Source organism: Homo sapiens, chromosome 8, assembly GCF_000001405.40.
Source record: "Homo sapiens chromosome 8, GRCh38.p14 Primary Assembly".
NCBI lineage: Eukaryota > Metazoa > Chordata > Mammalia > Primates > Hominidae > Homo > Homo sapiens.
Window position 1 is genome coordinate 7045572 of NC_000008.11, and position 26481 is coordinate 7072052.

At 42.2% G+C, this 26481-nt stretch overlaps 1 protein-coding gene across 1 annotated transcript; it reads right to left on the bottom strand.

Annotated features, from left to right (window-relative positions):
• Window positions 1–9732: 9732 nt before the first annotated feature.
• Window positions 9733–11168, bottom strand: DEFA5 (defensin alpha 5). The gene is made up of 2 exons (NM_021010.3): window positions 10955–11168; window positions 9733–9972 (listed from the first exon to the last, which is right to left on the bottom strand). The coding sequence occupies exons 1-2, from the start codon at window positions 11124–11126 to the stop codon at window positions 9860–9862; spliced, it is 285 nt and encodes a 94-aa protein (NP_066290.1). The 5' UTR covers window positions 11127–11168; the 3' UTR covers window positions 9733–9859.
• Between the last annotated feature and the right edge of the window lie 15313 nt (window positions 11169–26481).

Consider the following 26481-nt stretch of genomic DNA (forward strand, 5'->3'; position numbering starts at 1 on the left):
GGGGGAGAACAGCCTTGTTGATGCTGATCAGCAGGGAAGGAGGGACAGGTACATGAGAGGCTGGAAGGACAGCGGGTGAGTCAGGGATGGGGAGCTTCATAGTTGATGTTCAGAGCTGGAGGAATTCCAGGTGGTGGCAGGAGTTACTGGGTGGCCATGTGGTGGAGAGCTGGGACAAAGAGGACGGGGAGTCACTGTCATCCAGGAGGACAGAGCACTGAAAGGTTGGGAGGGTGATCTGCCAGGAAATATTAGTGTGAACTCTTTCCCTTAGTTTTTTTTTTAATGAGTTATTTAGCTTTTAGTGGCAAAGGAAGAAATACAGAACTTCAAAAAAGGAAACGAGCACTTTTCTCATCTCTTACATTCTGGTTTTGTTTGTAAGCAGAGCTCAGAACAAACAGTGATACAGAACAAAACAACTCTGTACTTTTCTTGTAAAAGAAAAATTTCACCAAGACTTTCAAGAAATGTCAAGGAAACGTTTATTGAAGACTGTTGCAATAGGAGTCACAACGTTGTAATAGGAAGAGCCGTTGGACTCAACTTACCTCAAGCCAAAGGCAGGAGAATTTAAGCCTTGAGGGGAGCTAGCAGGCTAGCTCTGGAGGTCGTTAGGAGGGAAGTTGGCTAGTGTGATTGGGCCATCTGTGTTTGCTAATTTGTGCTTGTTGGAATAAGTCTCCTATCCTCTCACAGAGACAGGGCTGCTGCCCTCTTGTGTAATTACATTTATATGGATGAGGCATCTGACTTATTCAATATTTATTGTTCCACCACACGAGTGGTTCCTGGTAGAAAATCTCTTGTATGTCATCAGTGAATGTAGAGTGTTTGTGCATCCAGTGAACAGTTCTGGGTCTTACTTGAGGCCGAGCAAGTTGTCCTGGTTGTTTGGAGACCCTCAAACCTCTCCCTGAATTCTCTGTCTCTAGAGTTTGCAGTAGTCATAGCCCACCGTAGACTGCAGTAGCAGAAGCCACATGTGGTGCTCCCAGTGTGTCTTTATCCACACAGAGGAGCAGGGAGGCTCCGTCCTCATCTGCCCCTTTCCCTTGAGTTGATGGATGCTTCTCAGCACATCAGCCTGAATTCTACTGCATCCTTCTATCTGGCAACATCCATTCCTCAATTCAGTGGAGGTCGACCTGACCCTGCATATTTCTTGCCCTGATATTTTTCTCTCCACCGAACATTCTACTGTACCCCTTCTTTTAATCTACCCATGTTTTAAATACCTCTGTGTTTCACCATGAAATCTTTTCTTGCACTCAAAACCAAAATAGTCTGCTTCTTTCTTCTAAACTCCTATTGCTTCATGAAGCCACATTTTCCCAAGGATATTTTTCTATATATCAGCCTTCAATGTTTTTAATTGGCTTTTTTTTCCATGCTGCCACAGAAACTTGATATATAGACTGCTTTGTGGCTGTAGTTTTCATTTTTTCCTATGCAGTTTAGTAATAATAATAATCTAATTTTATATCACTATGTGATATTAGATATGATTAATTAATTTTATCACAATTAATTTGATGATCTCTTACTATGTACTAGGCAGTCATCTGGACCCTGTGGTACAATAATGAGCAAAACATGCAACTTCCCTTCTAGAGTACGGAGGGAAATGTTACAGAGAGTGAGTGAAGTGTACAGAATGTGAGACCGCTACAATTCTACAGTTAGAAATAAAGAGAACAGGTGGGATGGAGATTGCCCAGGAAAGTTGCTGCAGTTTAAAATTGAGAAATCAGGAAAGACCTCAGTGACAAAGTGAAATTTTTTAGCGGAGACCCCAGGTCTGGGAAATGAGCCAGGTGTACTTCTGGGTGAAATGCAGATGCCCCTGGGTGGAGTCAGCCTGGCCCAGCCGACAGTTTGGAAAAATACGGAATGTTAGTTCAGGGACCTCAGGACTTTGAAGCAGTGGCAGTTACTAGAAGCCAAGGAAGCCTCCTGGCCTTCACAATCCAAAGTTCTGTGTGTGTCCTTCACCGTCTAAACAAGGGGAAGGTTGGGATCATTTGTCTGTCAGAATGCCTTTGTCCTCCCTGGGATCTGTGTTGGGTTTCCTGGCCGTGCAGTGTTTCAGTGTGGTGCCCGGACTCCTGAACTGCCTCTTCAGACAGGCAGAGCCTCAGTCTGGGGCTGAGACCTCCTCAGAATCTCATGGGGTGGACATGGGAAACACCAGCTCCCTTCTCCTGAGCTCTGGGTGTTTGTGATTGGTGTTGGTGGTCACAGCAGTGTCTGGCCCTTGAGATGTTTTGGTCAAGAATGGGGAAAACCCACTTGAAATGCTGTATCTTTCTTTGAAGTCTGTAATCTCTCTGTCCCACTCAAACTCCTTGTGTCATTTTATCAGTGACCACCTAAGAGTAACTGTGGCTTCAATATAGGTTTTGGTATATTGTGTTTCTAATTTCATTTGTTTCAAGCAATCTTTAAATTTCCTTATTTTTTTATTGACCCATTGGTCATTCAGGAACATGTTGTTTAATTCCATGTGTCTGTACAGTTTCCAAAGTTCCTCTTATCATTGATTTCAAATTGTATTCCACTGTGGTCAGAATAATACTTGATATAATTTTGACATACATGATATAGGTTTGACTTAAAAATTTGTTGAGAGTTGTTTTGTGGACTAACATATGATCTGTCCTGGAGAATGTTCTATGTGCTGATGAGAAGAATATATTCTGCATCAGTTAGATGAAATATTCTGTAAATGTCAGTTAGGTCCATTTGGGCTAGAGTGTAGTTTAACTCTGATGTTTGGTTTTGTTAATTTTCTGTTTAAATGGTCAGTTCTTTATTGAAAGTGAGTTGTTGAAGTTTTCTACTATTATTGTATTTCAGCTTATCTCTTTAGATCCAGTAATATTTGCATTTGAATGCTCTTTGAATTTTTATATCCTTTTGCTAAATTGACCACTGTATCATTACATAATGACCCTGTTTGCCTCTTTTTGTAATTTTTGACTCAAATTCTGTTTTGTCTGATAGAAATATGGCTACTGTTGCTCTCTTTTGGTTTCCATTTGCATGGAATATCTTTTTTCATCCCATCACTTTCAATCTATATGGGTCTTTATAGACAAAGTAATTTTCTTGTAGGGAGCATATAGTTGGATCTTGATTTTCAATCCATTCAGCCAATGTATGTCTATAAACTGAAGAATTTAGTTTATACTTAATGTTATTATTGATAGGTAAGAACTTACTATTACCATTTTGTTACTTGTTTTCTGTTTCTTTTGTAACTCATCTCTTCCTTTTCTTTCTTCTTTTATTACTTTCCTCCTTAGTGGTTAAATGATTTTCTCTGATAGCGCTTTAATTCTTTGCTTTTAAAAAAGTGTATGCATGGCTGGGCACGGTGGCTCACGTCTGTAATCCCAGCACTTTAGGAGGCCGAGGCAGGCGGATCACGAGGTCAGGAGATCGAGACCATCCTGGCTAACACGGCGATACCCCATCTCTACTAAAAATACAAAAAATTAGCCAGGGGTGGTGGCGGGCACCTGTAGTCCCAACTACTTGGGAGGCTGAAGCAGGAGAATGGCCTGAACCTGGGAGGCGGAGCTTGCAGTGAGCTGAGATCGTGCTACTGCACTCCAGCCTGGGTGACAGAGTGAGACTCTGTCTCAAAAAAAAAAAAAAAAAAATGTGTATGCATTACAGGTTTTTGCTTTAGGGTTATTAGGAAGATTATGAAATGTTCATAAGAAGTTATTTTCAACAAATGACAACTTAACTTTGATCACAAAGAAAGTAGAAGAAGCTAACAATGACAGAAAAACCTAAAAAACTCTATACTTTAACTCCCTCCCCCCCAACATTTAGACTTTTTTGATCTCAGTGTACATCTTTTTATATTGCCTATCTCTTAACAAATTGTTTTATTTATTATTTTTCATAGATTTGCCTTTAAGTATTCATACTAGAGATATGAGAGATCTACAAACCACAATTATAATATTAGAGTATTCTAAAATTGTCTGTGTACTTACTTTTACCAATTGGTTTTATACCTTCAGATGTTTTCTTTTTGCATGTTGGCATCCTTTTCTTAAAGACTAAAGACTTTCCTTTTATAATTTTGTATTAAGACAGACAGGTCTGGTAATGAATTTCCTCAGTTTTTGTTTGTCAGTCACAACCTTTATTTCTACTCAATATGTGAAAGATAGCTTTGCTGGGTGCAGTATTCTTGGTGGGAAGATTATCTCTCAGCCTGTGCCCCAGCACTTTGAGCATATCATCCCTCTCCTTGTTGGTCTGTAGGATTTCCACTGAGAAGTTTGTAGCCAGATGATTTGGAGCCTCTTTATGTTTAATTTGCTTCTTTCTTTTTGCTGCTTTTAGAATCCTCTCTTTTTCCTTTGAGAGTTTAATGACCGTATGCCTTATGATAGTCTTTTTTGTGTTGAATCTGTTTGATAATGTTTAACCTTCCTATACCTAGATATTTATATCTTTCTCTATATTTGGAAAGTTTTCTATTATTATTTATTTAAGCTTTGTAGCCCTTGCCCTCTCTCAGCTCCCTTTTGAAGGTCAATGACTTTTAGATTTGTTCTTTTGAGGTATTTTCTATATTTAATAGGTATTCTTCATTCTTTCTGTTATTGAGAGTCTGACAGCTTTCTGCTAGGCAGTTTATTTCTCAGTTCCAGGGTTTCTATTTGCTTTTTAGAAAACGATTTTGATATACTTGCTAAATTTTTCTGATACATTTCTGAATTACTTTTCTGTGTCATTGCAAAGCTTGCTGAATCTCCTAAAAACTGCTGTTTTGAATTATTGAACATTGCCATCTTCTTAGGGTTGGTCACTGGCTCCTTTGTCCATTGGGGCTGGTCATCTTTTTCTGTTTGCTGTTGTTTCTTATGCAACATCAGGTATACCGAAGACTAAAGGATGGGCTGCCATGTACCAGGCCTCCATTTCTTAATCTCTCAAATCTAGATAATTGTCTCCTACCTCATGTGTGGTAGGGAAAGCAATTGGTGTGATGCCTAACACAATGGGGACAATGAATGGATATTAACCAATATTGCCATATTTCCTTGATCCTAAGATGGTAGCTGTCTTATATTATTTTTTTCTTTCCATAACTGAATACCTAAGACTGGGTAACTTACAAAGAAAATACATTTTTTTCTTACAACTCTGAAGGCTGGGAAATCTGAGATTTAGAGGCTGCATCTGGTGAGGGCCTTCTTGCTGATAAGGAATCTCTGCAGTCCTCAGTTGTGCAGGGTATCACATGGTGAGGCGGGACACACTGAGAGGAACTGGCTTTTACAACAGACTCACAGCAGACTCACTCTTGTGACAATCTACTAACACGTTAATTCATGAATGGGTTAATCCATTCGGGGGCATAGAGCCCTCAGAACCCCATCATCTCTTAAAGACCCCACCTTTTAATAGTGTTATATTGAGGAGTAAGTCTCAACATGAACTTTTGGAGGACATACTCAAATTATAGTAATACCAATTACATAATTATAGAAGTTTATCAAAGTAAATCAAAGCAAAACCACTATCAGATTACATTTACACATAGGTGTAAGATGCATCAAAAGTTTCAAAAGCAAGGCTGGGTGTAGTGGCTCAAACCTGTAATCCCAGCCCTTTGGGAGGCCAAGGCGGGTGGATCACCTGAGATTGGGAGTTCGATACCAGCCTGGGCAACATGGTGAAACCCTGTTACTACTAAAAGTAGAAAAAATTATCTGGATGTGGTTGCATATGCCTGTATTCCCAGCTACTTGGGAGGCCAAGGCATGAGAATCGCTTGAACCTGAGAGGCTGAGGTGGCAGCTGCCTGAGATCACACCACTGTACTCCACCCTGGGTAGCAGAGTGAGACTCTGTCAAAAAAAAAAAAAAAAGAAAAGAAAAGAAAAGAAAAAAAAACCCAACAACAGTTTCAAGAATTTAATCTGTGAAAAACGTGATATAGAATATGATAGAACTAGGATATTATTAAAGTCCTTCTAAAGAACTGGAACAAGATTGAAATACAGAGAAGACTTAGAAGATTGCTCAGTAAAACTGAAGGTCTAATGTGATGGTTAATTTTATGTGTCAACTTGGCTGTTTTGCAGTGGACCAGATATTTGGTCAAACATTATTCTGGGTATTTATGTAAGGGTGTCTTATTGGATGTGATTAACATTTAAGTTGGTGGACTTTCAGTGAATTAAATTGTCTTGCATAATGTAGGTGGTCCTCATCCAACCAGCTGAAGGCTTGAATAGGGAAAAGGTTGACCTTCCCTGGGCAAGAAAGAATTCTGCCAGCAGACAGGCTCCAGAGTTGAACTGCAACTTTGACTCTTCCCTGGGTCTCCAGGTTGATGGCCCATCCTGAAGATTGTTGACTTGCTAGCTCCTTAGTCACATGAGGCATTTACTTAAAACAAATCTCTCTATACATACACATTCTTTTGGTTCTGTTTCTCTGGAGATCCTTGATCAAGACATACAGTTTATGTAGACACTTCATTTGTGTGGTCACCTGAATTTTGTGCAGCAGAGAACAGGAAGATCTGCAGTTAGACTGATTGGGGTTGGGACATGAGAATGAGGATGTGTGGGATGGAAAGATGAGGAGATATATGAAGGACATGGTTAAAATGAGAGTGAAGTGCCTTTTATCACACCTTTTTGTTTAGGTCCATGCTGAGCCAAGAATTTCCATGAACAGAAAAAGCTTCCCGTTGCCTGAAGGAAGGGTGAAGAACATCTTCTGTCTATCTTGGTTTTTGCATAACTTGCTGTCCTCCTGACCAGAGACTTGATGCTCACTTTAATAGCTTTGGGCCCGAGGAAACATTTATTTTGTTTCTTACTGTAAGTTTTACTCAGGATAGTAGAGAGTAGGGTATTCTCCCCCATGACCTTGGAGTCCTACTCCATGGAAGTTATTCATATTGCTTGATCACTGTGCTAATATAAGACAAGAGTCTTAGCTTCAAGGGAAAACTGGACATTGAAGAGATCTGCCTGGAAAACCTAGGGTTGTTTATACTGTAGCTTCTCAGAATGGAGCAGCAGAGCCTCTAACAAACTCCCACGCTGTAACTGATGTTTACATAAAGACTGATGAAGAACAGGAGATGCTATTCAAGATTCTTATAAAAACAGAACCCATTGGCCCAGCACGGTGGCTCATGCCTGTAATCCCAGCACTTTGGGAGGCCAAGGTGGGGAGATCATTCAAGGTTAGGAGTTCGAGACCAGCCTGGCCAACATGGTGCAACTACATCTCTAATAAAAATACAAAAATTAGCTGGGTGCAGTGGCACTTGCCAGTAATCCTAGCTACTTGGGAGGGTGAGGCAGAAGAATCACTTGAACCTGGGAGGCGGAGGTTGCGGTGAGCCAAGATCGTGCTACTGCACTCCAGACTGGGTGACAGAGGAAGACTCCATCTCAAACAAAACAAAACAAAACACCCAAAAAACAAAAAGCAGAACACATCAAAAAGAAAGGGCAGAGACCAACCGACTAATCAATTTTGGCTGTGAGTAAAGCAGTTAAATAGAGGAGCATCACAGTGACTTTTAGGCAACCAGGTGGGACCTGGAAAATCCTTCCCTTTCACCCTACACACCAACCTGACCTAAGTTCACAGACTTTGTAGAGTGACCTTAACTTCCCAAAAGATGTACTTGTATAGAGCATCTGAGGTCTCCCCACTCCCCATTCTGGTTCCTGCTGTCGGAGACCCTCACCTCTTGGGTGGTGCATGAGAATGCTCGCCTTCCTCTATCATGCTCTCTTGCTGGCCCTCCACTTCCAGGACCAGGTGTGACAGCAAAAGTGGAAGAGAGTCCTGCTAAGAAAGGTTGCTGAGGCAGAGAACCAGCCCCTACCACCTATCTCCCAGTAAAGTGGAGAGCTCTCACCAAGGACCATCAGATGAGGAAAGGCAGCACCAGCCTGCACTAGCCTGGTAGGTTCTTTAATATTGGAAGGACTTTGGGGCACAGAGAAAAATCTCACCACTATTTACACTAAGTTTAAACCAGTTCTTGAGTATTAAATATTGATACAAAGGTGATTATTTAAATTCCCTTCATCTATATTGATGTAATACATTTAGTATGCCTAATTGTTTTTAAACACATCTAATACCTTAAAGAATAGATAAACATATTCCTGAAAGACAATCACAAACTTATTCATTCATTATACCAAAAATGATACAGAAGGGCCCATATCATGGATTTGACATCTTTTCTCATTTGTTTTGAGTTTACTCCTTCCTATGATTTTTGTGATCTTCCGAGACCCCAAATGACTAAACGAGGTTGCAAGTCTAGGGCCAAATAGCTGACCCTTGATCAGGAAACAGTGCTTTGCATGTGTCTAAGATGAATCAAACCCAGACTACTTGTTATTTATTATCAGGCTGAGACTTTTTGTTGTTGTTGTAATAAAAATGTTTGGTTTTTTTTGTCATGTCATGACACTGTTCAATCCCTGTCTTTTATATAAATTTTAATTCTAGAAACTTGTTTTTCTCACAAATACGTCGTTCTTAAGTTTTTGCATAGCCCTAAGTGTATGGCCAATTTTCTTATCATTATGATGTATTGACTTGGTTCATTGGCATAATTAAAAACATATTAACATATATTTTCTCACTAGCATTTTATTAAAATGAGTATAGCTTTATTATAATAAATAGAGTTCATATGCTTGAAGGGATGGAGAGTTGAGACCAACTCCTTCATTAAACATTGGTCTAATTAACCTTTTGGGGACCAGTGAGGGACCATTTGTCTCATTGGTTATTGGGCCTCGTCCTCTATGGTCACCAGCTTCTGAGCTCCTCTTCTATCTGGTTATTAATTGAGATCACTGATGCTTGTCAGTCTTTCTTGTTTTGGGCACAGTTTTAACTTTTTCCTTAGTAAACTTTATTTTATTCTATCTTGTTGATACAGTTATATATCACCAAAACAGAGTGAAATAAAGCTTAATGTAAAGTGTATATATTTAACACATCTGCTTAAAATTTCAAAAATTATGTATAGCAATGCTTTCCCACTTTTTAAAATTAAAGGACAAGTAAACATAGCCCATTAGATCTATCTTTCCTTTGAGCCAACAACCACTTTTTGCCTCTCATTGTAAACTTCTACTTTTTGAGTATCATTAGGAATGCATTGAATTTTTAAGTTTCAAACTATTCCAATTAACACTTATATCCTGTCAGGAATGGTGGCTCAAGCATGTAATCCTAGCACTTTGGGGGGCTGAGGAGAGCAGATCACTTAAGCTCAGGGGTTCGAGACCAACCTGGGCAATATGGTGAAACCCTGTCTCTACAAAAAAATACAAACCATTAGTAGGGTGTGGTGGCACATGCCTGTAGTCCCAGCTACTCAAGAGGCTGAGGTGGGAGGATCATTTGAGCACAGGAGGTCAAGGCTGCAGTGAGCCGAGATTGCACCGCTGTACTCCAGCTTGGGTGGCTAAGTTAGACACTGTCTCAAACAACAACAATAAAAAACCCAATTATATTCATTTTTGTTATTTTGTTATTGCTCTATGATGCTCAAATTGTGCATCATTGGAATGCAAAGACCAGTTAACTTAATGTAGATCAGAATTCTCAATACAAAGGAACCATACAAACCACCATATAACAAAGCAAAAGAAAAAAAAGGAAAAAGAAAAGAAAATTAAAAAGGTCAAACACACTAAGTTTAATGCTTGAACTTTATTTTGGAGAGAGAAATTTAGAAAGACACAAGGTACACAGAGTAAAATGTTTTTCTTTTTTCAGGACCTTGAACTGAATCTTGCACTGCTTTGGTTTCTATCTAGGAAGCTCAGCGACAGCAGAGTCTGTAGAGGCGGCCACTGATTTCACACACCCCGGAGAGGGACTCACGGGTAGCACAACGGCCGGTTCGGCAATAGCAGGTGGCTCTTGCCTGAGAACCTGTGGAAAGAAGAGAGGGTCAGGCACAGCGAGGGAGGTGGGAAAAAGGACAAGCACAGCCAGACTAACTGAGATAGTCTAAATAAGAGACACTGTATCAGTCATGTTAGGATGGAGAAAATTCATGTCTTTGTCGTAAGTGACAAGAAATCTTACTAGCTATGTGTTAGTCATGCAAGATCATAGTTTTTTTCCCCATGTGAGTCTATCCAGGATGTATTTATTACCTGCTCCCTGGTCCAACAATATACCTCTCAACCTCAGGGTTACCTACTCTTCATTCTGCTTCATCCACACGCCTAATCTTGACCTCCATGTGTGATTTCCAGGTCCTAACAAGGCTCCCTAAAGCACCTGAATCAGTTTCTGAAATGCCGCATTGTGCATGCTAATGTCATGGACCAAATACTTTGGTGCTCAAGGAGTCTTTGAAGACTTTCCAAATTCAAATTCTTCATTCTCTGTCTCTCCTTTTTTTTTTTTTTTTTTTTTTTTTAACATTTTACATATTTACTTGTTTTAATTGACAAACAATAATTGTGTATATGTATGAGACACAATATGATGTTTTGATCTAAGGATGTATTGTAGAAAGATTTAATCAAGCCTATTAGCCTACATCAAAACACACCTATAGGTTCCTCTCTAGGTTCTAAAAGCTTTTCCAATGGACAAAGTAAAACACTCTCTATATAACTAAGTCTGCCCATTTAGATCTACAAAGAACTAGTCAGTGTAGCTCTTTCTATCTTAAAAGTAGCAAATTTCACAGAAATATCTTGGAACTGAAAGTCTTAGAAAAAAGAAAATCTTTTAGATTTATTTGGTTCTCACTGATTAATTTATAGATGAGAAAATCAAGGTCCAGGAAGATTAAGTAAAGTCACTCAAGTGAGGTAGACCTTTCCACACTTGACTCCAGATCCTTTCTCCAATCCTTTTTTTCTAGATTTTGCAGATGTGCAAGATTGATGTCTCCTACCTGAGGTTCTAAGAGCAGAGAGTCCATTTCCTGCAAAGGAGATAGCAAGGTCCTGGTTGTCTTCCCCAGACTGCTTCTGGGTTGTAGCCTCATCAGCTCTTTCCTGGAGTGACTCAGCCTGGGCCTGCAGGGCCACCAGGAGAATGGCAGCAAGGATGGCGATGGTCCTCATGGCTGGGGTCACCTGCAGGAGGGAGAGCAGGAGTGGATATGTGGGGAGTGAGGAGTCAGCCTGGATTTATAGCTCTGCTGGGAGAAGACCTGAGACAGAAGCTGCAGTGAGAGGAGGTGGGCATGTGATTGGGAGGGGAAGGACTGCCTTTGTTCTCAAGATCCCTTTGATGCTCCTCTTTCTCCCAGCTTTCATCAAAGCGTGAGTCTGTATGCTTAATGCCTCTTCTTGATCCAAGGTGTTAATGATGATAAGGGTATTACTATCCTGTTCTGTTTCCCATCTGCTTGAGTATTTACTTTTATATATTCAAAAAAGAAAAACAACAGCGCTTTCATTCAAGAAGTTTGGGGATCAAATGCCTCTTGTTTTCTGAAGATGGTCCCTGGTACTCTCTGGATGACTCTCTGGGGGCAGACCTGGGACTCAGTGGAGTAGAGAGTTAATTCATTGCAGGATTCAGGGATATTACTAACCTCATGTAGGAGGCTTTTGAGATCTCGAGGTGAGTAGTCTCCCGCTGGTGCCAGTATGGAGAGGTCAATGACCTTATCAGGCTATAGGGGAAATGAGTTCAGTAAAATAGTAGGCCAAGTTTATCAGATTAAAATAAAAATTCGGATTTAGTTCAAGGAGTTGGTGTGATCTGAATGCATCACATAAAATGTGTAGCGGGTACTTCTCTCCACTTTGGGGAATATCAAAGTAATTTAGGTGCGTACAGCCCCTTTCTGAGATTTTTTTTTTAGTTTTAGAAAATTGTAAATCATGCACAAGGAACAACATTCAAAAGGTAGAAGTCATGAGCTCTCATTTCTACCCCCAGGCCTTCAGTTCTGACCCAGCAAACCATCACTATTAACAGTTACACATAGTATTCTGCACTTCGCTTTTTTCACCTGTAACATTGGCACTTTGTATATCAAAATACATGGAATGCTATTATAATTTTAATAGCCTTATACTATCCCAGGGTTTGTATATGCCATCACTTATTTTTTGTACTGATAAAATATTATAAAATTATTACAATTTGGTTATTTTTAAACTTTTGCAGTAATAAGTAAAGTTACAGTGATTATCTTGTATATATGTTCTCTTACCTATATGGATAAACTTATAGAAATAGAATTGCTGTGTCAAAGAATGCATCTTAAGCCAGCATGGTGGTACATGCCTATATTTCTAGCTATTTGAGAGGCTGAGGTGGGAGGATCACTGGAGACCAGGAGTTCGATACCAGCCTAAAAACATAGTGAGACCCCTTTCTCTTAAAAAAAAAAAAAGAGACTATATCTTACACATTTTTAAGATATTACTACATATTTCCATAATATCACCATATTTGATCCAAATCCTTTGGGGCTCAGTGGGCCCTTGGAGAGTCTCTATATTTGAATTCCTCATTTAATTTTTTTCAAATTTATTTATTTATTCATTGAAAAATAATTTTCTGTATATTTGTAGGGTATGATGTGACGTTTGGATTGATATCCACATGGGAGAAACACATAAGCTAATTAAGATAGCCATCACCTCACCAACTTAATTTTTTAAGGAGAATTACAAATTGATTCCTTTAGCAGTTTGAAAGATACAATACATCACTATTAACTGTGGTCACCGTGCAGTGCCATAGATCACTAAGACTCTCCAGCATAACTGAAACTTTGTACTCTTGGCTCAACATCTTCTCTTTTCCTATCTCACCCACCTGCAGCTTCTGATGACCACCTTTGTACTCTAGTTCCATAAAACTGACATTTTAACATTCCATGTGTAAGTGATATCATATAGTATTTGTCTTCCTGTGTCTGGTTTATTTCGTTTAGCACATTGTCCTTTGGTTCCATCCATGTTGTCATGAATGAAGAATTTCCTTCTTTTTTTTTTTTTTTTTTTTTTTTGAGACGGAGTCTTGCTGTCGCCCAGGCTGGAGTGCAGTGGTGCGATCCCGGCTCACTGCAACCTCCGCCTCCCAGGTTCACGCCTTTCTCCTGCCTCAGCCTCCTGAGTAGCTGGGAGTACAGTCGCCCGCCACCATGCTCGGCTAATTTTTTTGTATTTTTAGTAGAGACGGTGTTTTACTGTGTTAGCGAGGATGATCTCGATTTCCTGACCTCGTGATCCGCCCGCCTGGGCCACCCAAAGTGCTGGGATTACAGGAGTGAGCCACCGCGCCCTGCCAATTTCCTTCTTTTTTAAGGCTATATGGTATACCATCTTGCATGTATACCATATTTTCTTTATTCATTCATCCACTGATGAACATTTAGGCTAATTCCATATCTTGCTTATTTTGAATAATGCTGAAATGGACATGGGAGTGCAGATTCTTCTTTGATACAGTGATTTCAATTTCTTGGGAGATATACCCAGAAGTGGGATTGCTGGGTCATATGGTAATTCTATGTTCAGTGCTTTGAGGAACCGCCATACTATTTTCCAAAATGGCTGCACTAATTTACATTTCCACCAATGGCCTACAAGGGTCCCCTTTTTTTTATATCCTCACCAACACGTATTATTTGTCTACTTGTTAAAAGCCATTCTAACAGATGATTACCTCTTTATGATTTTAATTTGCATTTCCCTGATAATTAGTGATGTCGAGTGTGTTTTTCATATATCTGTGGGCCAGGTTTATTGCCCTTTTTTAAATTGAGATGTTTGTTTTCGTCTTATTGAGTGTTTGAATTCCTTATATCTTTGGGATATTAGCCCCTTATCAGATATATGGTTTGCAAACACTTTCTCCTAGTCCCTGGATCATCTTTTTGTTTCCTTTCTGTGCAGAAGTTTTTTAGTTGATGTAACCTCCTTGGTCTATTTTTGATTTTGTTGTCTTTGCTTTTGGAGTCCTGTTGTAGAAATAATTGCCCAGAAAAATGTCATAAAGATTTCCCTCCATGTTTTCTTCTAGTAGATTTACAATTTCGGGTCTTTTATGTAAGTCTTTAATCCATTTTGAGTTGAGTTTTGTGTATAGTGTGGGATAAGTGTCCAATTTCATTCTTCTGCTTGTGGATATCTAGTTTTCCTTACACCTTTTAGTGAAAAGACTGTCCTTTCCCCATTGTGTGTTCTTGGCATCTTTGTTGAAGATCAAGTAATCATAAAGCCCTGGGTATAGTTTTGGGCTTTCTACTCCTTTCCTTTGGTTATTGTGTCTGCTTTTACACCAGACCATGCTGTTTTGCTTCCAATAACTTTATGATACATTTTAAAATGAGAGAGCATGATGCCGCTATCTTTGTTATTTTTGCTCAAGATTGCTTTGGCTATTCGGGGTCATTTCTGATTTCATGCCAATTTTAGTATTTTTTTAATTCCTGTGAAAAATTGCATTGGAATTTTGATGGGGATCTACAGATCACTTTGGGTAGTGTAGACATTTTAATAATATTAATTCTTCCAATCCATGAACTCAAGATATCTTTCCATTCATTTGTGTCTTCTTCAGTTTTATTCATCAATATTTATAGTTTTCAGTGTACAGATCTTTCACTTTTTTGGTTAAAATTACTTCTAAGAATTTTATTTTTGAGTGCTATTATAAATGAGATTGTGTGGGCTTCTAAACCTTTGTGCCAGTCCAAACTCCTGTCTTTATTCTTAGTGACTCCTACAAAATTAGAAAGTGTCAAGTCATGCTATTGCCTTGAGAGAGTGGGAGAGAAGCCAGACCTTTAGAATACAGTGGAGAGGTTGGGGTGTTTGATATGTGTTTCAGTTTTTTCTTTCTTTGCAGAGAAACTGATAGAGTTTATCTCCCACTTATTCTGCCTTATGAAAATGAGAGGATCTGAATTAAATCTGTAATATCTATAATATTTATTTGAATTCGTGAATTAACAGGGAGCCTGGGAGGGACTAATTTCCTGCATCAGTGATTCCAGGTTTCATGGCCCTTGTTTTGCCCTGGTGGCCATTTAGCACCAGGTTTTAAACCATCTGTATTTGTACTGCTTCTCTATTTCTCACTGGACATTGCTAAGTTTGTAGATAGCGTTCCACAATTGTTTCCTAGCCTCCGTCTCTCTGGCATTGTCTCTCTGAATCTCTAGCAATGACTGAAGAAACAATTTGGGACATTTTTGTTCCAGTTCTAACCTTTCTCCATGAATTCTCTCATGTGTTTGATCACCCAGAGTCCTTATTATTTGGAGAAATTGATATCTTCAGTCTCTCTTCATCCTTCTCTGACCCCAAAATTAATTGGGTGAGCAGAAAATCTGGAAAGATAAATGGGTGGTTTAAAAACCACTGTCCAGGCCCTGTGGTGTGAGAGGCAGAGCTGAGCACTGGCCAAGCCAGAAGATGCCCGGTGGCCCATCTTCCCAGGACCAGGCCCTCACCGGCAGCCCATTGCTCAGCCTTAGACACAACTCTGTTGCCAGTCAAGTTTCTCATTATCTCTGGCAGAAGTATTTCTAGAGAACTCCACTGGGCTGGGCGCAATGGCTCATGCATGTAATCCCAGCACTTTGGGAGGCCAAGGCGGGCAGATCATTTGAAGTTAGGAGGTCGAGACCAGCCTTGCCAACATGGTGAAACTCCATCTCTACTAAAAATACAAAAATTATCTGGATGTGGCAGCGGGTGCCTATAGTCCCAGCTACTCTGGAGGCTGAGACACGAGAATCTCTTGAACGTGGACAGCAGAGGTTGCAGGGAGCTGAGATTGTGCCAGTGCACTCCAGCCTGGGCAACAAAGCGAGACTCCATACCCCCACCCCCCCCAAAAAAAAAGAAAGAAAGAAAAAGAAAACGGCACTGACATTATGGAAAATAATTTTAGTTTCTTAATGCGTTTGTAAATAATCATTTAGAATAAAATGCCTTTCCTGTTCCCTTTTTTCTTTAACTGTAGCAAAGTGCCCATTATCTATTGTCCCCTTGACTTCAAACGTGCTGTCATTTAAAATAAAGTCTGAAAAACTATTTTTCTTGTCCTTTATTCTGAGTCCAATCTTGCCTCTCCTATACTCAGCGCTGGGACAAAAACAGGATTTCCATCCATAATATGGACATTCACTCTTAATTTCCATACATAATATGGACATTCACTCTTAGAAGGCATGTACTCCCTGGGCGATGATTTAATTATTTAACATAAAAATTAATTTAACTGTGCTAAAAACTAAAGGGCAAGGGAATTGGCCTGAAAGAAAATACTTCAGATAGCAACAGAATCTGGTTTTATAATAGAGGTTTTGTATTCCAGGATATTCCAGGGGACAAACAATGCTTAGATGTGTGTTTATTACTGGTAACAGTCAAGCAGATGGGAGACAGGGAGAGTGATAGGGGCCTTCATGAACGTGAAGAGCAGGTGTTTCAGTGCAGCTGCTGGATTGGAGAATCATCAAAGGTCTGAACCATCAACCCAAAGGATACCTCTATCCCACAGCCACGCAGGTTTGGGGTAGCTCATTGCCCTGGGATGCTGCTTCCTCCAGATATCACAGAGCTGGGGTCTTTTTACTCCCCTTGGTCCTCAGGCTCCTTCGGTCCCTTGAGAGACAGTGACCTCTAGGAGGCTCACAGCCCTGAGAGCCTTTCCCCTTGTCCTTCTCTGGAGCCTCTTGGAGAAAGCTCACCAGGTCCTAGCCTTGCAGCAGCCTGGGACAGAGGACCCAGATGTAGCTGTCCCCTTTGCAGGAGTGAAAACTGCATTATGGGCTTCGGGTAAGACAATGTGCTGTCTGTTGGGAGCTGCAGTCTCAGTGGTGCCATCAACTAGCTGTGGGATCATTAGTGCATGACTTCACCTATCATGGCCTCTGTCTTTCAACTCTAAATTGGGGGCAATAGAGTCTCTCCAAGGGGTCTTGGGTGCAAGACCTTGAAACCCTTGAAAGATTAATGTATGCAGTTCATCCCGCAGGCACGAGCAGACAACTAGGCAACAAATAACAGCCACTTAAAGCTTTCTTAGCCTAAGCTGCTTTCAGAAACAGCCTGTCAAAGTTTCTCCAGGCTCTACGGTGCCTTTGAATATCACATTTTTAACCCCAAAGTCCATGTAATTCATTCTGGCAATCACCCAATATTATTCAAATTTCATGTAGTTCATTCAGGCAATCACCCAATATTACTGAAATTTTAATCTTCTCTTAGAATACTCATTCTCCATGAAATCTTTTCCAAATGTATAGTGCTAAATGCTGTCAATTTCAGAATGATTCCTGCATTTATATCTTCAGCTCCAACCACCCAGCTGAATTCCAGACTCTGGAACACATTTCCTGTCGTGTGCGCTAGAATCTCCAACAGATTCCTCACCCCTAATGTCCAAAACTAAACTCTTCACTGTACATCTCCCCAGCTTGCAGGCACCACACACACATACAGGTGTTGTCATTTCAGAAAATGGCACCAGTGTCTCTGCAGTTGTTCAGGGCAAAAAATAAAAATATTCTTCAGATATCCTAATATTCCATATTCTTACATCAGCAACTTCTGTTGCTTCTGTACCTTCAATATAAATTTTGAATGGGGCCATTTCTTATCCCCTGCACTGCCAGCACCCTGGTGCAATATACACTGGCTTCTCATCTGGGCTTCCTCAGCCCCCTTGTAACTGGGCTCCCGCTGATACTGGGCTCTGTGCTGCCTCTGAGCACCCGTTTTCCAGAGCTGGTCAATACCCCTGTCTAGCGAGGTTCTTTCCCAGCCATTTTCAAGATGCAACACCCAGGTACTAAGTCCTGACAGGCACTAATCTCCACGGTTCTCCAGGAATGAACAAATAAGGGAATAACCACACATATCCCATGTATCCACAAACGTAGTGCCTTTTTTTTTTTTTAAAGAGGATGGGTAGCTCATTGTCCTTTCTTAAAGAAGCACTACGTTTGTGGATACATGTGGATACATAGCATGTCCCCAAAGCTATGCTCTTGCAATTGGTGTCCAGCAGCCTCTGAACAAGTGAGGAAGGTTCATCCAATAGTGCAAAACTGGGCTGTAGGTGCCCACCAGGAGGAGCCAGAGGTCCTCATGTTCATGAAGGCCCTTATCTCTCTCCCTGTCTCCCATCTGCTTGACTGTTACCAGCAATAAATATGGTCATGTCTAACCATCATTTGTCCCCTGGAATATCCTGGAATACAAAACCTCTATTATAAAACCGGATTCTGTTGCTATCTTATTTTCTTCCAGGCCAATTGTCTTGCACATTACTTTGTAACACAGTCAAGTTAATTCCTATGTTAAATAATTAACTCATCCGTCAGGGGAGTACATACATTCTAAGAGTGAATGTTCATATTATGGATGGAAATCCTGTTTTTGTCCTGGCCCTGAGTGACCTGGACAAGTAGATCTTTCTACCCTGAGATCCAGCTCCTCAGGGTAGAAAGTGCAGAGCTGACATCTCTATGAAAATGACCAGGGCAATAGAAACAAAAAGGTAAGAAAAAAGGTAAAGAAAAAAATAAGGTAAAGAAAAGGGGGGACTACATGGCCCAAATACATTGAGCTTACTGTGAAAACTCATTTTTGGAGATAGAGAGAAGATAAAGAACAAGGAAGAGAGACTAAATTGTTCGTTTCCAGGTTTTCAAATGGAATCTTGTCCTGATTTGGGTCTCAATTAACAAAGCACAAGGACAGCTGAGCCTGTAACAGGTGTTGCTGAGGATACAGGACCGAGAGTGATACTCAGTGGCAACATGCAGGTCTGCAACTGCAGGTGCCTCTCACCTGGTGACCTGCAGGAAGATGGAGGAGCATATTGGGCACAGTGCTCGGTTTGGGGGTACGGGAAATCAGATCAGAGCAGCCCAGAGGAGGACTGTGTTCTAATAGAGCAGGTTCTAATAGAGCAGAATAAAGAGATCATAACTGGCCATCTGTCGGCCATTCAAGATCTGGTGCTTCCTTTCATGTTTTCTGTCATTTATATCACACAGTCCCCACTCCCTGCACACAGGCACTGAGACTCAGAGACATGCACATGCACGTCTATAACACATACATCCCCAGTTTCCACCTCACAACACACTCCACTCACCACACAGGCGTGCACATACCTGCACAATATAAACATACAAACATATGCACAGGTGCACGCATGCACACACACCCTGAAGTGCAGACTCCAAACTCTAATATATCTGGTTTAGTCTCTGAGGCTGAAGCTGCTCAGAGGGCGCCTCCCGCGATGCGGGGAGTAATATCTCCCCCTCTCCCCCCCGGGCTATTACCAGCCACATCACAGGGGGGTGAGGGCGCCCCCCGCGATGCGGGGAGTAATATCGCCCCCCTCTCCCCCCTTGCATATTACGAGCCACGGTGGTCACACAGCGTGTTGACATTATTGTCAATAATATCTTCTCTCCCTCTGGAAATGACCAACTAGATCACAGACCGGTGTACATCCTCTTCACTATTTGTAGTAATAGCATCCTCTTCCCCCTGGATATTAAGAACAGTATCACAGGAGTCTTTCTACCCCCAGCGGCATTGGGTGTAGTATCGTCCTCTCCCACGTTGAAATTATGAACTATATCACTGGGGGTGTGTCCACCCCATGCGATATTGATAGTAGCATCATCCTCTTCTCTCCTGGATCAGGGGAGCAATGTCACTGGGGTGGTGTACACTTTCTGCGGTATCGGCAGTAAGATCATCCTCTCCGCCTTGGAATATGAAGGACCATATCACAGGGGGGCTGTACACACCCTGCGCTATGAAGACGAATATTATCCTCTCCCACCCTGCACATGAGAAAAAATATCACAGGGTGGGTGTACACCTTCTGCGATATGGGGGGGAAATATCTTCTCTTCTTCTGGATAGTAGGAACAATATCACACGGGTTTGTACACTTTCTGTGATATTGGGAGTAATATCAACTTCTCCGCCTTTGAATATTAAGAACAGTGTCACAGACTGGATGTACACCCCCTGCGATATTGGGAGTAAAATCAGCCTCTCCTCTCCATGGATATTAGGAATAATATCCCAGAATGGGTGTACACCTCCTGCTGTATGGGAAGTCATATCTTCCTCTCCCTTCCTGGCTACTAGGAACCATATCAGAGGGTGGGTGTACACAGCCTGCGATATTGCGAGTAATATCACCCTCTACCCCTCCGGATATTAGGAACAATATCACAGAAGGGGTGTACACTTTCTGCGATACTGGGAGTCATAGCATTGTCTTCTTCCGTGAATATTAGGAGCAATTTCACCGGGTGGATGTACACCCACTGCTCTATTGGGAGTGACGTCATACTCCACCCCCTGGAGATTATATTCGGATCAATATCACTGGGTGGGTGTACACCTACTGCAATATTGAACATAATATCATGCTCTCTCCCTCCCTGGACATTAGGAGCAATATCACAGGTAGGTGTACACCCACTGAGGTATTAGGCGTAATATTCATATTCATTATTCCTCATTTATTAGTCACATGAATATGAATTACCAATATTAATATTAATAACAAATTGCTGATAAAAAGTGTTCAAAATATTAATATTAATTATTAGGAGCTAATATTACTGTTTTCTAATGTATAAGATCAATATCAGTTATTAATATCAGGCATTATTAATCATTAATATTAATCATTTATTGTTATCATTCGTATAACTATTTAATATTAATTATCATTATTATTGGTATTGATGTTAAAAATTATATTTTCAGTTATTAATGTCGATAATTATTAGTATCAATTAATAATGGATGTTATTAATTGCGATAAGTAATATTGATATTAAAATCGATATTATTGATTATCAATTATTAATTGCGATAAGTAATATTGATGTTGAAATGGATATTATTTATTATTAATTATTAATTGCGATAATAATATTAATTGCGATAAGTAATATTGATATTGAAATTGATATTATTAATTGTGACAAGTAATATCGATATTAAAATGGATATTAGTGATTATTAATTATTAATTGCGATAATGATATTAATTGCGATAATGATATTAATTGCGATAAGTAATATTCATATTAAAATTGATAGTATTAATTGCTATAAGTAATATTGATATTAAAATTGATATTATTAATTGCGATAAGTAATTTTGCCCCATTCCACATAATATCTGTGATCTTGTTGCTAATACCCAGGCGGGGAGAGGACGTTATTAATCCCAATAATCCGGAAGGTGTAGACCTCCCCTGTGATATTGTCCCTAATATCCAAAGGTGGAGAGGAAGATATACCTCCCAATTTCGCAGGGGTTGTACACCACCCCTGTGACATTGTTCCTAATGTCCAGGGGTAGAGAAAATGACATGACTCACAATAAGGCAGGGGGTGAACACCCCGTCCATGATATTGTTCCTAATATTCAGGGGGGAAGAGTATGATGTTACTCCCAATATCACAGGCGGTGTACTCCCCATATCCCAGGTTGTGGATAGTATCCCGATCTGTGATAGACTCCGCCACGATGTGGGGAGTAATGTCATCCCCCTCTCCTTCCCTCGGTATTACGATACACATCGCAGGGGGGCGGGCGACCCCTACGATGCGGGGAGAAAAATCACCCCCCACCCCTGATATTACGAGCCACATCGCAGGGGGGTGGACACCCCCAGTGATGCGGGGAGTAATATCTATCCCCCTTCCCCATGGATATTAGGAGCCACATCACAGGGGCGTGGACACCCTCCGCTGATGCGCAGAGTAATATCAACCCCCATCCCTCCCTGCATGTTAGCAGTCACTGAGGACACACAGTGTATTTACCATATTTCCAGTAAGATCATCTTTTCAATTGAACCTTATGAACAAGATCACAGAGGGGTGTACACTTCCTGCGATACTGGGGGTAATAGCGTTCTCTCCTCCACTGCATACTGGGAACAATATCACAGGGGTGTGTATTCCTCCTTCCATATTGAGAGTCATATCATACTTGCCTTCCATATATTAAGAACAATAGCAAAGAGGGGAGTGGACACTGTGACGATATTAGGAGTAACATCATTCTCTCTACCCCTGGATATTAGTAGCAATATCACAGGGGGATGTACATTTCTTGTGATATTGAGAGTAGTAGTATTGTCTTCCCCGGTGGATATGAAAAACAATACCACAAGGGGCGTCAAACCACCTGCCAAATTTGAGGGCATGTTATCCTCTCCGCCCCCGGATATTAGAGACAATAACACAGGGGTAATGTACACCCACTGCTTGATCGGGAGAAGGATCATCCTCTCCCTTCTTGGATATTAGGAACAATATCACGGGGGTGGGGGGGGGGTGTACTGCCTCTGCGATATTGGGAGTAAAACTCTCCTGTCTTCCCCTGGATATTAGGAAGTGTATCAGAGGGGGAGGGTGCACATTCCCTGCGATATTCAATGTAATCTTATGCTCTCCCTCCCAGGGTATGAAGAACAATATTACAGGAGGGGTGTACACCCTCTGCGATATTGGGAGTCATATCATCCTCTTTCGCTCTGGATATTAGGAAGAATATCACAGGGCTGTGTACACCCCCTGTGATATTGGGAGTCATATCATCCTGTGGCCCTGAGGAGAGAAACAATTTCTCTACTGTCTCCTGTCTCTGAAGAGGAGGAGGAAGTAAAAGTGGGAAAACAACAGGAATGAAGTCAGTGGCAAGACCAGCCGGTGGCACTGATGAGCCGGTCTGCGGTGAAAAGATTAACCCCCCCTTAGATTAACCCTAAGCACATGTGCTCTGAATCCATCACGGCCCTTTCACGTGGAACCCCTTGGAGTTGTAAGCCCTTAAACGGGCCAGGAACTCTGTCTTCCTTGGAGGAGCTGGGTTCTTAAGACAAGAGTCTGTCGATACTCTCGGCCGAGTAAAAAAACCTCTTGCTTCTTGAATCTGCTGTCTGAGGGACTTCGTCCACGGCTCATCCTACTTCATTTCTTAGTGCCCTGATTGGGAATCAAACGGGGGCAGCAGCGGTAAAAGCACCGAATCCCAACCACTAGACCACCAGGGGAACTTTGAACCTTGGGGAAAATAGATTGCCCACCATTAGAAGTGGGTCGGCCATCAGAAGGAAGCCTGGACAGGTCCCTTGCTTCTAAGGTGTGGCACAAGGTAACTGGTAAAGGACACCTAGACCAGTTCGTATAGACACTTGGTGACAGCTGGTGCTAGACTCCCCACAGTGGCTAAGAGGGCAGGCAGCGGAAATACTAGTAGCAAAGGGACAGATAGCTAAGGAAGGATCCCGCTCCACCCGCCCAGGGAAATCAACTCCTGAAGCTCTATTCCACCCAGCGTCAGAAGATGCATTGCAGGAGATGGCACCAGAGATCCCAGTGGTGCCCTCCCCTTAGCAGGGAAAGAGGCTCCCCACTCTTGAGCCCACAGTGCTTGCGCCTCCGCAAGACAAGCGTATCCCTAGGCCACCTAGAGTAGACAAGGACTTGGGAGAAACCCCTCCCTTGGCAGCTCATTTACAACCCAAAACCGGGATCCAAATGCCCCTGAGAGAGCAGCGGTAGACTGCTATAGTTGAGGATGGTCACGTGGTGGAGAGACGTGTTTTTGGGTACCAGCCCTTCACCTCTGCTGACCTTCTCAACTGGAAAAATAATACCCCGTCCTATACCGAAAAGCCACAAGCTCTGATTGATTTGCTCCAAACTGTTATCCAGACCCACAACCCCACCTGGGCTGATTACCACCCGTTGCTCATGTTCCTCTTTAACACAGATGAAAGGCGGAGAGTCCTCCAAGCAGCAACTAAGTGGCTAGAGGAATATGCACCAGCTGATTATCAAAAACCCAGAGAGCACATAAGGACCCAGTTACCAGGAACCGACCCCCAGTGGAACCCACATGAAAGAGGGGATATGCAAAGTCTAAACTGAGACAGGGAAGCTCTCTTGGAAGGATTACAGAGGGGAGCTCAGAAGGCCACAAACGTTCACAAGGTCTCTGAGGTCATTCAGGGAAAACAAGAAAGTCCAGCACAATTCTGTGCGAGACTGTGTCAGGCCTATCGTGTGTATACTCCCTTTGATCCCCAGATCCCTGAAAATCAGTGCATGATTAACATGGCTTTAGTCCGTCAAAGCGCAGAAGACATGAGAAGAAAACTGCAGAAACAGGCTGGGCTTGCAGGGATGAATACATCACAATGATTAGAATAGCTAACCAGATGTTTGTAAACAGGGATGCAGTAAGCCGTAAGGAAAACCGCAAAGAGAATGAACGTCCGGCCTGGAGAAACACTGACCTGTTTGTTAGCTGCAGCAATCAGAGGGGCCCCCCGAGAGAGGCAAGGGAAGGGGGGCCCTGGGACAGAAACTCTGCTTGGCTGTCAGAGTTTGCAGTGTAACCAGTGTGCTTATTGTAAAGAAATAGGACATTGGAAGAACAAATGTCCTCAGCTCAACAGAAAACAAGGTGACTCAGAGCAGGAGGCCTGGGACAAGGAGGAAGGGGCCCTGCTCAACCTGGCAGAAGGGTTATTGGACTGAGGGAGACCAGGCTCGAGTGTCCCCAAAGAGCCTCTGGTCAGAAGGACAGTCTGGGATAGAGACATTGATTTTCTTGTAGATACCGGTGCTGAACAATCGCTAGTAACCGCCCCGGTCACCCCCTTATCCAAAAAGACTATTGACATCATCAGAGCCACGGGGGTTTCAGCAAAGCAAGCTTTCTGCTTGCCCCGGGCTTGTGCTGTAGGAGGACATAAAGTGATTCATCAGTTTCTGTACATGCCTGACTGTCCCTTGCTCTTGTTGGGAAGGGACTTCCTTAGCAAGCTGAGAGCCACTATCTCTTTTATAGAGCATGGCTCTTTGCTGCTAAAGTTGCTCAGAATGGGAGTCATTATGACTCTTATGGTCCCCCAAGAGGAGGAACGGAGACTTTTCTGAACTAAGCCGGGCCAAGAGATAAGACCAGCTCTGGCTAAGCGGTGGCCAAGAGTATGGGCGGAAGACAACCCTTCAGGATTGGCAGTCAACCAACCCCCTGTACTCATAGAAATGAAGCCTGGGGCCCAGCCTGTGACGGAAAAACAGGACCTGGTCCCGCAGAGAAACTCTTCAAGGGATCCAGGTCCATCTCAAGCACCTAAGAACTTTTGGAATCAGAGTTCCTTGTCAGTCTCCACGGAACACTCCCCTTCTGCATGTTCCCAAGCCACAGACCAAGGACTACAGGCCGGTACAGGATTTGCGCTTGCTTCATCAAGCTACACTGACTTTACATCCAGCAGTACTTAACCCGTACACATTGCTGGGGTTGCTGCCAGCTGAGAACAGCTGCTTCACCTGCTTGGACCTGAAAGACGCTTTCTTTAGCATCAGATTAGCCCCTGAGAGCCAGAAGCTGTTTGCCTTTCAGTGGGAAGATCCGGAGTCAGGAGTCATTACTCAGTACACTTGGACCAGGCTTCCCCAAGGGTTCAAGAACTCCCCCACCATCTTCGGGGAGGCGTTGGCTTAAGACATCCAGAAGTTTCCCACCAGAGACCTAGGCTACATTTTGCTCCAGTACGTTGATGACTTTTTGCTGGGACACCCCATGGCAGTCGGATGCTCCAAGGGAACGGATGCCCTACTCCGGCGCCTGGAGGACTGTGGCTATAAGGTGTCCAAGAGAAAAGCTCAGATCTGCTGACAGCAGGTAAGTTCCTTAGGATTTACTATCTGACACGGGGAACACAGCCTGGGATCAGAAAGAAAGCAGGTCATTTGCAATCTAGCAGAGCCTAAGAGCAGAAGGCAGGTGAGAGAATTCTTAGCAGCTGTGGGGTTTGTAGACTATGGGTCTCAAACTTTGCAGTATTAGCCAAGACTTTGTATGAGGTCACAAGGGGGCGGGGACTGGGAACCGTTTGAATGGGGATCCCAACAACAGCAAGCCTTTCATGAGTTAAAGGAAAAAATGTATGTCAGCCCCAGCCCTGGGGCTACCCGTTCTGACAAAGCCTTTTCCATTTTATGTGTCGGAGAGAGAAAAGATGGCAGTTGGAGTTTTAACCCAAACTATGGGGCTGGGGCTGAGGCCAGTGGCCTACCTCTCTAAACAACTAGACGGGGCTCCTAAAGGATGGCCCCCATGTTTGAGGGCCTTGGCAGCAACTGCCCTGCTAGTACAAGAAGCAAATAAGCTGACTCCTGGGCAAAACCTGAACATACAGGCCCCCCATGCTGTGGTGACTTTCATGAATACTAAAGGACATCATTGGCTAACCAATGCTGGACTCACCAAGTACCAAAGTTTGTTCTGTGAAAATCCCCGTATAACCATTGAAGTTTGGAACACCTTAAACCCTGCCACCTTGCTCCCGGTATCAGAGAGCCCTGTCGAGCCTGATTGTGTAGAAGTGTTGGACTCAGTTGATTCTAGCAGACC